The sequence below is a fragment of the Homo sapiens genome, chromosome 7 (assembly GCF_000001405.40).
Source record: "Homo sapiens chromosome 7, GRCh38.p14 Primary Assembly".
Classification (NCBI taxonomy): Eukaryota; Metazoa; Chordata; class Mammalia; order Primates; family Hominidae; genus Homo; species Homo sapiens.
The window spans coordinates 55136209-55149594 of NC_000007.14; the positions used below are offsets into that span (position 1 = coordinate 55136209).

At 42.3% G+C, this 13386-nt stretch overlaps 1 protein-coding gene across 11 annotated transcripts in view, besides 2 other annotated features; it reads left to right on the top strand.

Moving 5' to 3' along the window:
* Positions 1-13386, top strand: part of EGFR (epidermal growth factor receptor) — a 192612-nt gene that overhangs the window by 117192 nt on the left and 62034 nt on the right. For 8 of the 11 annotated variants that reach the window (NM_005228.5, NM_001346898.2, NM_201284.2 and 5 more), the window contains exons 2-4: positions 6078-6229; positions 7097-7280; positions 10398-10532. The exons of 1 other annotated variant lie outside the window; for it this stretch is intronic. In NM_005228.5, coding sequence (NP_005219.2) covers positions 6078-6229; positions 7097-7280; positions 10398-10532 — 471 coding nt within the window. The remainder of the gene's footprint in view (positions 1-6077; positions 6230-7096; positions 7281-10397; positions 10533-13386) is intronic. 2 more of the 11 variants (NM_001346899.2, NM_001346897.2) reach the window with 1 other exon arrangement.
* Positions 4773-4842: an enhancer, noted in NCBI's record as "active region_26011". NCBI's record gives its function as "activates an Ori minimal core promoter by ATAC-STARR-seq in GM12878 lymphoblastoid cells {active_cell/tissue: GM12878}" and the evidence as "EXISTENCE:reporter gene assay evidence [ECO:0000049][PMID:35858748]".
* Positions 10369-10907: an enhancer, noted in NCBI's record as "H3K27ac-H3K4me1 hESC enhancer chr7:55214270-55214808 (GRCh37/hg19 assembly coordinates)". NCBI's record gives its function as "activates a minimal SCP1, AML or CMV promoter by ChIP-STARR-seq in naive H9 embryonic stem cells {active_cell/tissue: H9 hESC(naive)}" and the evidence as "EXISTENCE:reporter gene assay evidence [ECO:0000049][PMID:30033119]".

Below are 13386 nucleotides of genomic sequence, written 5' to 3' on the forward strand. Positions count from 1 at the left end.
CCTATAAATGAACTATCCATTCATCTTATTTGAGATTTTCTTAAATCTTTCAGCAAGAAAGCGGGAAAAAAATCCTCCTCTGGCCTTTAAAGCCTAATTAAATATATGACTAAGCTAGAAATATTTTATAATGACCAACCAGAAAGTGGCAAGGACTGTCACTCTTCCCATACAGCCCACCTCCTCCTCTATCTCCCTCAGGCACACGGAAACGAGAAAGGCAGAGAAACCCAGGACAAGTCATCCAAGACTTTGGTCACATGGCCATCCATTGCTTTCACAACAAAAATATAAATCCAACATGTGTGTGTGCATTTCATACCAGTAGGTCCAATAAGCTATCTATATATACACATATGTGTACACACACACACACACATCCTTACAGACACTCCCCAGCTTACTACAGTTTGACTTAAGATTTTTTGACTTTACGATGGTGTGAAAGCAATGCACATTCAATGGAAACCATACTTCTAATGTTGAATTTTTTATCTTTTCTTGGGTTAGTTGATGTCTGATATGTTACTTTCTTGCGATGCCAGGCAATGGCTGGGAGCCAGAGCTCCCAGTCAGCCATGCAATCAAGAGGCTAAACAGCTGATACTATACAGTGGACTGTGTCACCAGCATTTTGGGGATATTGTGTTTTGTGTTTTTGAATCCTATCATGTCTACAAAATGCCATTTTCGACTGCTATTTTCAATTTAGGGTGGGTTTATCAGGACATAACCCTATGGAAAGTTGAGGACCATCTGTATATCTGGTAGGGAAAGATGGATAACAAATTCATAGGCAAATAATAATTTCATGATTATTATTAAGTTATTCCTACTTAATAATAAGTAGTGATCACTGCCAGGGAGCAGAGAATGCAGGATAATGTGACAGATGTAATGGTGGGTACTTAAGCTAATGTAGTTGCAGAACAGGCTTTTCTAGAGGGTAGGCCTTTAAGCGTACCTCGAAGATGCAAAGGAAGCAAAGATGCGAAGATCTGGGCTGGGGATGGAAGCAGAGACAACTTGGAGGCCAAGGGGAGAGACTGACAACAGCCCAGCTCATACCTCAGCAGCCTTTAATGCATAGCTAAGAAAACAACAAATTAAAACAATTATAGTTTACTTAGACGATTCTAAGTGTCTAAGTGGATTTGGGCAAATCTGGAGAAACTTGTTCTAATACTGTGTCTTAATAAGTAATATAGATTTGCCCAGGCTTGTGGGCAGAGTGGTATACACCCCATAATAGCAGAGGAAGGCCACAGGGCCTACCCTACAAAACCAGAGGCATTTAAAAACTTAAAGGAGGCAGATTGCTTTTATTTTCAGTTAAAATAAAGTGAGGAGTTTCTCAAGAAAAATAATAACGAGACCACCGGCCCGCCCTAGATGTCCAACAAGAATGCACAGATAACTTCGTATATCCACTTTCCTGAACCTGCCCCTGACAGCCAAGTGGAGCACAACAACAGAGATGAACCTCAAAACTACTGTGCTGTGACATAAGGCTTGCTCAAGAGGACAGTGTGGTGTGAGTCCATCTATGTTCTAAAGCAAGCAAAGCTATTCTGTAGTGAAAATGGATCAGGACAGCAGTTGCCTCTGGTGTATGGGGGCAGGGATCGACTGGGAGGGGCATGAGGGATGACAGTTAGGGTTTCGATCATGACAGGAATTCAGATTACTCCAGCATGTGCATTTGTTAAAGCTCATCAAATGCTACACTTAAGATTAATCCTCTCACAGTTTGTGGATGTTACCTTAAAAACAACAATGATGACTGCAAACTAATATTGAACTCTGGTTAGTGATATACCAATGTGAAGTATAGTGATATCTCTACTTTACTTTAAAATGCATCCAAAGGCAGACTAGAGGACCATATCTGACAGACAGAAAAATAGATATGTGATAAGGTGAATGTAGTAAAATGCTAACATAAGGATGTTTGCGGTACAATTCTTTCAGCTTTTCTATACATTTATAAATCATAATAAAATTTTAGGACAAAAAGTTAGTGCTTTGAAGTCCTAAGTCATAGGGCCTGCTGCTCTTGATGCAGTAGAATTTGTCTTCAGATTTGCAAAGGGTAAGGCAAACCACTAGCATTTTGTATGGAACTTGATGCAAATACTTTTAATTGTCTGGTTTTCAAATGTATAGACTTAAAGTAATATCAACTCTTTCTTTGAATCAACTACTGAAATACCTAGTCTTAAATAAATATTTTTATGTAATCCTTAAAGTACTATGTATTCATTTTTCTTTCTTCTTTCTTTTCTGGTTTGATAAATATTCTATAAAGTAACTGTGTTTAATGGCCAACATTTGAGTAAGTCCATATGCAGATCCAAACATCTCAGTTTAGACAATAACTTAAGACAATATAGAGTGGCTGACATCCCCTAACGTGGGTCCAGATGCATGTTATGTTATGTTTCTGTTGCATTCTCAATAGTTAACTTTAATAAAAGAAAGTCAAAAGCTTATATATTTTTTCAATCTTCAAAACATTTCTGGGAGGTTGTCTTAGTTAATTTTATGTTGCTATACCCATATCACAGACTGGGTAATTTATAAAGAAAATAAATGTATTTGGCTCATGGTTCTGGTGGCTGGGAAGTCCAAGAGCATGGCATTGGCATCTGCTTGGCAGCTGGTGAGGGCCTTCATGCTGTGTCAATCTATGGTGGAAGGTCAAGAGAGCATGCATGTGAGGTGGTGGGGAAGAGAAAAAGCGGGTTTAACTCATCCTTTTATCAGGGACTCACTCCCGTGATAGCTAACCCATTCTTACATGAATGGCATTAATCCATTCCTTAGGGCACAGCTCTCATGACCTAATTATAATACCTCTTAAAGTTTCCACCTCTCAACACTGTTGCATTGGTGATTAAGTTTCCAATAAACGCACTTTGGAAAACACATTCAAACCACAGCAGAGATCAACGTTATTGTCACCATTTTCATATTTGAGGAAAGCATGGCACAGAGAGCTTGGAGAAGTACTTCAAGGTCACCCAATGAGGAAGTGGCTAAACAAAAACCTTATCTTAAATTAATTAAAAACCTCTTGCTCTTTGCAGTTTTGTCTTAAATCTACCTAATTTGTGACTGTAATTTTTAAGTAATTTACTCATATAAGTGGTCTCACATTAAATTTTCTCATTGCTTTATATTTCTAACATGAGATATTTGGTATAAGGATGGAACCAAGATCATACCTTGTTTTAATTAGAAAACCTAGACCAAGTCATTGTGATCCTCATCCTAGATTTCAGTTAAATGCTGCTGTCTCCTTTTGGGTATGTGACAGGGGAAAGCCTCAGAAGAAACAACCTTATGTGTTTTCTTTTGATACTTTAGTAATTAACCCAGGATAGTATTCAAGATTGACATGCCTTATATTGAATCAAATAGCATATCAACTGCCTTCTTATTCTCAAGTATAGACATGTTGGGTAATTGGGCATTTAAGTTTCTTTGCAATTTTTTCCATTATTAACAAAATTAATGAGCAACATTCTGCATAAGGTCTGTTTCCTCAGAATACGTTTCCCAAAGTGGAATCATCATGACGTAGAATTTAAGCATACTTACTTGTTTAAACAAATTGTCCAGTTGCTTCCCAAAATGTTTTGTGAATTAAGATTTACATCAAGAATATGTAATGTTGTTACTGTCTCCCAAATACAGGATCTTTTTCTGAATATAAAAGTTATACATGCTAATTGTAGACAATGAAGGGTCATTATCCTCATAGATAATGAAGTGCTTCTAATACTTGTGCTTTTATTCATTTATTCAAAAAGTGCTAAATAAGCCCTGAAGGGGCTTTTGGGGGGTCATTTGGGGCTTATTTAGCACTTTTTGAATAAATAAATAAAAGCACAAGTACAGTTTTTTTAAAATACTGTTTTCTATAATAGATTAATCTTAAATGGCATGTTTTCCTTTATTTTACTGACAAAAGTTACTTACTCTGTGATTGAATAATAAAAATTCTTTGGTTCAGCTGAGAGAAACTTGCAAGCTGACGTCCTTGATTATTTAAAATGAAAGCAGCTGCCTGTTTTCATCTCTCTGCATCCTGAGGAAACTCTTCTGCAACGTGTTCCAGCCCTAGGTTCTAGCTGACCCTGTTCATCTGTTTGGCACGAGGGGCCCAACTAACACTTGCGGCTACCTGGACGACAGCCAATCTAGTTGGAATGAGAGTTAGAGGCCATAGTCTGTCAGCTGGGAAAGCAGCTTTTATTCCAAGGTGTGCCAACCGAAAGGCCACATGTTATTGTCACAACCTGGTACCTACATCAGTGCTGACATCTTTAAGAACCTTAGAATTGGGAAATCAGTTTAGCCCTATCTGCATGTGTAGCCGACAACCACACAATTGTTCCAACTTGAGGTTGCATTCAGAGCAACCTCATTTCCCCCATACTCCTGAGGAAAAGCAGACCAGAGACGCTGGGTCAATCCAGAGTTATGGTTGGAAAAATGATGGAATAATTCTGCCCCTGGTGATAGGAGAGAGGGACTCCATCTTGTCAACTGTCATGGTTCCCATGTGAAAGCTATCATTATCACTGAAATTGAATGAGAACACAGAAGGGAAGAACAGGGAAATCCCCACAGAGTTAAAGAGGATGTGAAGATTGCTTCATGTTTAATGTTTGTGTAAGTGCTTTGGGTTGGTTATGTGCTGTCTGAACATGTGCTCATTTCCATGGCTCATTGAGAGGGCAGACAGTCCAATGATACTCTTTAGAATCATTCCCATGGGGAAGGAACAAAGAAGCCTGTAAAATAGAAATGCACATGTAAAAAGCATTGAAGAAAGTGCCAGTGTATTGATTTTGGCCATGGTTTGTGCTCTACCACCTGGTTACTGTGATTGCAGAAGTGCCTTTGCAGATGAGGAAGAACCTGGCCAAGGCTCAATCCAACATCCAAAGCCAGAGGCCATATTTCTTCACTCTTAAGATAATTTGGGTTCAAATTATAGTCCCTTTACACACTCTCTGCCTCAAAAGGCCCAAGACTCTCTTTTGTTATGCTTGCCTAAACATGCCTTTCAAAGAACTAGTTCTGTAAATACAACTTTATTATAAACCTCTCCTTTGCTTTTAAAAATGGATCACCACGTCCATTTCTATGGTCCAACTTTGTCCCTTAATTTAAAATTTTTTCTTGGATTAAGTTTGATGCCTTGAAACATTAGGAACTCAAGCATACAAGATTGTATGCTGGTGGTGAGGGAAGTAACTGTGCCTCCGCCTGTGCTGGGTGGATCAACATGGAGTGTGGACGAGCATAGGGATGTGTGGGTTTCTCACTAGCTGAGAGTGTTTTTAAATGTTGTATTTTGATGTTTGTTATTTTCTGAATATTCTACAGTTAGACCTTTGATTTATTCTTTGATGCATTCATTTGAATAATATTTTTAATCTCCAGCCAGTTAGGTTTTTAATTTACACTTTTGTCCCTGATTTTAGGTGTAGTGTTGTGTACACTACTGCCCAGTGTATGTTATGTTTGTAAACATTCATTGCACGCACAACAATGTGACTCACAATATTTTTGAGAAGTAAAAAGTTCATTATATAGTTATTAACTCAACCCTACAGTTATATTCGTGAAATACCTTGTGAAATTTATTTTTTGCCTACTGGAGCTCTTACAGGTTAATCCTGTCTTCAAGATTTTCATAGAATTTTCATCTACCACCCACCCCTTTAAATTTCAACATTTTTTTATTTTGGCATTTTAATGCAATTCAATGCATTATAGGGACAAGCTATCTCTTATTATGAATTGCACCTTATATAAACTTAAAGATCTTTTATCACAAATTTCTTTGCTGTGTCCTTTAGTGAGAATTTGTATTATCAGTCACTAAAGCTCACTAAGTTAGTAAGCTTTGCGCCCAGATGACCTGGGCAGGAATGGGTGAGTCTCTGTGTGGAGAGAGTGAAGAAACTGCTACCCTTAATACCTGGACCTTGAGGGATTGTTTTATTTTAGTTTTTCTGCATTTCTCAGTATTTCATGTGATATCTGTCTTTTTCTTCCAGTTTGCCAAGGCACGAGTAACAAGCTCACGCAGTTGGGCACTTTTGAAGATCATTTTCTCAGCCTCCAGAGGATGTTCAATAACTGTGAGGTGGTCCTTGGGAATTTGGAAATTACCTATGTGCAGAGGAATTATGATCTTTCCTTCTTAAAGGTTGGTGACTTTGATTTTCCTACACAAATAAAATTGGAGAAAATCTAAGTGGAGAAAGGCCTGGGCAGAATTCCACTTGAAGTGTGTTTATTTTTGCTATGGCAATGACAAGTCTTACAGAGCTACAAACGAGAGTTTTATGAGAAAGCCATTTTACCAGCTAATGTCAAGTAATAACTAGAAAAGGATATCAAATAGAAACAGGCTAATCTGGAGTTCCATGTCATCATAGACACTGACGTTTATCCCTGACCATTACCTCAGTCATGATGTGCTGCCATACTCGCTCTTAAAAACTTTTTTTAAAAGCCCTGCTTTGCACCATTTGCCTATTCCCTTAGTGTAAATACTCCTACTATAGCTGATTTCAAGGTACCAAGTTTCACTCAGCTGGTCACAGAATTCTTATTTCACGATAGGCGCTAATGACCCCATAGGAGCCAGCTCTGAAGGCTTCAGAGTTTCACTGAATTTTGGATGGGGTTTACTTAGCCTTCTTCTGTTTTTCTTTTACCTTTCCTTTTTAAATAAGAAATAATGCAAGACAGATACAAAGTAATTCTTTTTAATTTCCATTTTCACTGGAGAGTGTTGAACCCCGTGAGGCATGAGAGCACAGTGTTCCAGAACAATGCTTACTGCTCATTATCACAGGGGTCAAAGGCTAACGTGCAGGGATTGTTGCAGATCGTGGACATGCTGCCTCCTGTGTCCATGACTGCAATCGTCTACCTATTTTACAGTTGTTGAGCACTCGTGTGCATTAGGGTTCAACTGGGCGTCCTAGGGCTCCCTGGACCCATTTTAGACCTTGAGTTCTTGAGTTCCTCAAAAGAGAAATCACGCATTTATGTTTTCTCTTCTTAGACCATCCAGGAGGTGGCTGGTTATGTCCTCATTGCCCTCAACACAGTGGAGCGAATTCCTTTGGAAAACCTGCAGATCATCAGAGGAAATATGTACTACGAAAATTCCTATGCCTTAGCAGTCTTATCTAACTATGATGCAAATAAAACCGGACTGAAGGAGCTGCCCATGAGAAATTTACAGGGTGAGAGGCTGGGATGCCAAGGCTGGGGGTTCATAAATGCAGACAGCAGTTCCGATGGCTCCCAGCGAGCTTGTCACTCAATTCCACCTCGGAGAAGGCTTTTATTTTTACCCAGTACACGTGCACTGAGTGCCGGCTGTGTGTAAGATACTGCAGGGGAAGTTACTGAGAAGATGGCAGATACTGGAATGGGAAGATTTAAGCGGGGTACCAGTGTTTACATGGACATGAAAAAATACTGAGAGATAGTAAGAAATCGTAAAGATTCTGAGTAAAAGAGAGTATGACCAAACAAGCTGAGCAGGAATCGTGAATCTATGTGTGTAGGCAGTGAATAAACTGCCAGTCTTATTACCTGGACCTCAAGGATAAAAGACATACAGTAAAAATCAACCCACATTGAGGACAGTTTCGAGAGTCGCGCTGCTACACAGAAAGCCCTGTGTAAGTTAAGGATAGAGAATGAGGTGTTCTAGAACTTTGAATTTTTGTGAGCAGGACTCGTGAGGTTCCTGTGAGAGGAAACAATGAAGGATGATAGAAAAGAAGGGAAATTGATTTTAAAAAACTGGAGATAGCAGTGATTGTGCCTCACTGTGCAGTGGGTTTGGGGCCAGGAATGTTAAATTGGTAACTTCATTTAACGCCCACAACCTTTCTTCAAAGTAGGCACTGTACAGATGCCCCTTGACTTATGATGGCATCCTATCTGGCTGGACCCCGCCGAGGGTGAAGGCGTCATTAGGTCGGATTTCAGGGCTAATTGAATGTATATTGCCTTCACACCATGGCAAAGTCGAAAATCTGTGTTAAATCATGCTAAGCCGGGGACTGGCTGTGCTCTGCCATCGTACAAATAAATAAATGGAAGTCAAGTAACTCCCTTGAGGGCCCCAGCTAGTGAATGGAGAGGCCAGCTATGGCCACCACTCTCTGCCCCAGGGCGCTCAACGCCCCTCCTGTGCCATGCAGTTCTGACAGGGAGGCAGTGCTGGTAGGAAAGGGGTGTGATGAAAGGGGTGCCCAGCAGAGGGAGTCATATCCGGAGTGACAGGAGCCCAACAGGGGTGCAGCGCTGGAACCCAAGCCAGCACCTCTGGTCATGGCTCCTCAGTTCACCGCCTATAAAATTGTGTGGTTCCCCCACACCCCTTGCTGCTCAGAGCAGCCGCGCACATGCTTGTGCTGTGCGTGCCTCCTGTGAGATGGCCTGGTACACCGGTTCCTACAGTGCGCCTCACACGCTGTCTCGGAGGGAGGCAGCCTGTGCGGGTGCCTGGACCTCCGAGCCAGACCCTCTGGGTTCCTGCCTGGCCCCGTCCCTCAGCAGCCAGATGGCTCGGGAGCACATTCTCCAATCCCTCCGTGTCTCTGTTTCGTCATCTTCAAAAATGTGGATGGCATAGCTGCTAAAAAATGGTGACATACTTCCTAGGTGGTGCAGAAAATTAAGTGACTGTAGGAACAGGCCTCAGCAGCTCCTTCCACTTCCTTGGTATGATTGTTTTTTAAACCAAGGCTGGGATTGTATAGATGCAGATTAGTTAATGTGATACCATTAATAGCTAACCTAGTGCCTGCTGCAGGGTGAGCCTCCCCTAAGCCACCGGGAAGCGGCTCCTGCAGCCTCCCTCACGTGTGCTGGCCCTCCTCTGGCAGTCATTGCCTGTGGTGTGCTGAAGGCCCAGCTCTGACTGTGCCTCTGTGCTCTCCTCGCCCCGCCCCCTGCTCTCTCTCAGGTCTTTGGTCTGTTGTCCGAGCTGCCACAGCAGCCTGGACATCCCTGTTGGTGTTTCCAGCCCTGTCCTCTCCTGAGTTCCATCCACCTGTGCATGGCTTTTTCATGAGTGTTTTCACGGATGGTTCTGCTGTCATCTCCAACCTGATAAACAAAGCACCACGATTCAGCCCTTATGACCCCAAGCTTCCTTCCTCAGTTCCTTGCTTCTGTGCATCCACTGAAGAAGCCTGTTCCACTGTTTCCCTGCACTGGGTCTCCTGTCTGCAGGAAGCCTTCAGCCCTCACTTCCACACTCCTCTAAGATGTGTGCCTGTGCCCTTCTGGGGAAGCTCATTTTCCTAGCAGCCTCCAGGATCTTCAGGGGTGAATCCCTCCTTTCCCACGTTGGTACTCTGTACACACAACATGCCCATTCCCTGCCTGGGGAGCTGGGCATTGCTTCATGAATCAGAGGTCAATTTTTTCTCTATTAAAGTCACAGATGCTCATTGCACCATTGTGAGAATGAATGAAGATAGTGCTTATAAATCAGCCAGCAAGGTACCCAGCCTCACTGTGTCAGGGTCTCCCTGGGCATGAGGTGGTTAGAGTGTGTGACATGTCTGTCCCCAAGCCTGTCAGCTCCCAGATCGAAGCCAGTGGATCTCATTCATCCTCGCAGCGCCCACAGCACTTGCACAGGGTTTTGTACACATAAGTCATTCTGTCAATGTTCATGTTTAATGTCATCAGTGGAACACTCCCACTTTGTAAAGACTTGAATGTGTTCATCCCTGACTTTTCCACATCTTGTTAGTTCTTCTTTGGAAACAGCTGTACAGTTTCACCATCCTGTGCATCCCTGGAGTCTACCTGTCTCTGTCATACATTCAGATTCTTCTTGTTTCGTGTCACTCTCATATCCTTTTCTCTAATGAAAAGCTCCGCCTGGGCATGCAAGGTGGAGCCCTGGATGCCAGCCCCTCACCTGGCATCCAGGGCTGTAGCACTCAGGAACTGCCTCCCTGCCCTGCCTACCCCCTACATCATGCGACCATTCCAGTCCAGCCAATCAGCCCCTTGGGACCCAGCTTACCACATGCATATCATTTATGCTGTGACCACTGACTAAACCATTCTCTTCCTTCCTCCCCATATTTCTAAATTTCTAATCATTGCTCAAAGCCCAATTCAGAGAAAACCCTAGCTCCTCCATGGCACCATCATTAACAATTTTATCTGGCCGCCCCCCGGGAAGTTCACTGGGCTAATTGCGGGACTCTTGTTCGCACCATGGCATCTCTTTAGCAGAACATAAATGCGAAGAGCACATGCATCCTTCATGGGAATTTAAAGGAGCTGGAAAGAGTGCTCACCGCAGTTCCATTCTCCCGCAGAAATCCTGCATGGCGCCGTGCGGTTCAGCAACAACCCTGCCCTGTGCAACGTGGAGAGCATCCAGTGGCGGGACATAGTCAGCAGTGACTTTCTCAGCAACATGTCGATGGACTTCCAGAACCACCTGGGCAGCTGTAAGTGTCGCATACACACTATCTCTGCCTCCAGCTCCTATGGGGGACAGCTCTACAGCACTGGGGCAGGGGAGAGAAGCCATGTTTAGTAAGTCACATTAATCAGAAACAAAAAGTAGTAAGCAAAATATCTGACCACTAGAAAAGCATGTATTTACCACGGACATAGAGATCGTTTTTTTGTGGCGGGTGGCAGCCCAGCTGGTTGGCAGTGCAGGCCACCGGAGGCAGATCCCCTGCAGGGACAGCAGAGCACTTGTGTCCTGAGAAGAGCTGCTGTTCATGGGGCTGGCAGCACCAGGGCCTCTCCTAGCCTGCCCTGCTGACACTGGCCAGACTCCTACATGCTTCTGAGTCTCCAGAGGCTACCCGGCCCTCCTGAAGCACCAGGGCTGAATCCACCCCCAGCTGAGGGCATGAACACTGCCACATGGAGTCACACACACAGCTGGGCACTGCCATGGAGAGGAAGTCTGTCCATGTTTCCTTGAATACTGGTGGCCTGGTCCCTGTCCCATTCCCCAGTGAGGCAGCCTGTGGGGAAGCCTGGCAGGGAACCAGGCGCAGGTCAGCGTGGCGCCCTGACTCAGGCCAGCACTGATGGGGGACTCTGAGACGCAAGCTCACACTCACCCAGCTCCCCTGGGCTGCGCCCGTTCCTGATCGCTTGGACTTTCTGTTCTTTAGAGTAAGAAGTGATCACCATTTCCTGCTTCTTTGTTTCTCCACAACTGTGCAGTGGATGCCTGTTTGTTTTCTGCCCTCAGAACAAAAAAAAAAAAAAATAGAGCTGACGTGAATCTTCAAAATCATCAACTACAGGGCTTTGGATTTTTGTGTATTTGTTTTATTTTCATTTTATGGATGGATTGTGATGAAATGCCCGTAATACAAGATTTTCCATCTTAACCATTGTAAGTTACAATGTCAGTGGCATTATACATCCACATGGGTGTGTGGCCATCACCACCGTCCACACACAGAACTCTTTTATCTTGCAAAGCTGAAACTCTACCCATTAGACAGTAACTCTCTGCTCTCCCTTCCTTCCCAGCCTCTGGCCCTGGCAGGCAACAGTCCACTTGATGTCTCTATGAATTTGACTGCTCTGGGGCTCTCATACAGGTGGAATCATGTAGTATCTGTCCTTTTGTGTCTGGCTTATTTCACCTAGCAAAATGTCCCGAAGGTTTATCCATGCTGTAGCACGTGTTAAGAATGTCCTTCCTCTTCATGGCTGAATAATATTCCATTGTATGTTGACACTACATTTTGTTTGTCCATTCACCTATCTACAGACACTGGGGTTGCTTCCATCTTTTGACTGTTTGAATAATGCTGCTGTGAACATGGGTATTGAGGCTCTTTGTTTTATAGACATATTATTCCACCAGATACCCATCCTGACACCTACTATGTTTGCAAGAAACTGAAAGCTTTATTTTACATTGCAAAATTTCATATTATGAGATCAAGGTTAGCATTTCCTCAGCTGTCTGGTGGACAATGGGGAGGTTAAACTGTGCACATTTTATTTTTTTTTAATGAACCTGGAACGGTTATGGGGCCAGTGTTTGCCATGGATCAGGTCAGGCAGCCCACAATGGCAGGTCTCCATGTTCTGTACAACAACTGTGGGAAAGACCCACAGAGAAAGTGCTGGAAAGGGGAATGATGGGTAGGTTCATGCAGTAAAAAGATTCAAATACTACAGGGCATTGAACTATAGGCCAATATAGCATTGCTTTAAGAATAAACAAAAAATAAGACAGTAAGAATAAGCCTAGCAAAATCAAAAGTCTATAAAGAACTGACATTTCAAGCCAATAAGAGAATAATTCCTTATTCAATAAATTGTCTGGAATGACTTAACTATTAGGGGTGAAAATATCAAAGTGAGAGAACTATAAAGGGTTTTTAAAAAGGAATTAGGTATGTTGGGTTAGTCGCATTGGAGAGTGCAAATTCACCATCGACCTGATACCTGAAATTTCCTCCTTACCATCTAGAGGCAAGTTGGGAATGCTGCCAGGCTCCTGTGGTAAAGGAAGCTCCTCTCTTGACTGGTGCTTTATGGCTACACGTTCCTGCTCAGAATGGATCTCATTTAGTCTTCACCAAAAAAAAAAATCTCATGAGATGATTTAAGTGTTTTATGGACAAGATGTCTAAAACTCAGAAAAATTTCACAGTGTGCCTAGCTTTTATGTTTATGTTGAAGTTGGGCATTAGAAGTTAGAATGAATGGGTTTACTTCAGAGAAAATTAAATCCATCACCCACTCCTTGTACTATGAATTCCAAATACATATTAAATACATATAATAAAATATTTAATATATATGTAAGTGCCAGAAGGAAACATAAATATGAATATTTTGTAATATCAAGTTGAAGAAAAGCCAAAATCTGACATCATAAAAGAAAACTTTCAAGTAAAATATGTTAATGGCTACCAGGAAAATATTGTGCAATGTCTGATTGCCATGAAGAGGGTTAATATCCTTGCTATATCACTCTGTGAAGTCATCTTTAAAAGACTAAGAAAAAGATGAATCTCTTAATAAAAACCTGGCCCAGAACATGAGCAGCCTCTCTCTCTCACTCTCACTGTCTCTCTTTCTGTCACACACACACACGCACACATACACACACACACACAAATATGGCCAAGAAATAAAGTAAAATGTTATTTCTAATGTAATAAGTAGGTCAAAATAGAAAAAGAAAGCATCACACCTTCCTTTGCAAAGTATTTGGGTTCCTTTTGCTTTTAAACACCTGGGTCAGCTGGGGTGTCGAGAAACAGAAATTCTCACGTTCTGCTTGTGGGCATATATGTTAATAAAACCAAG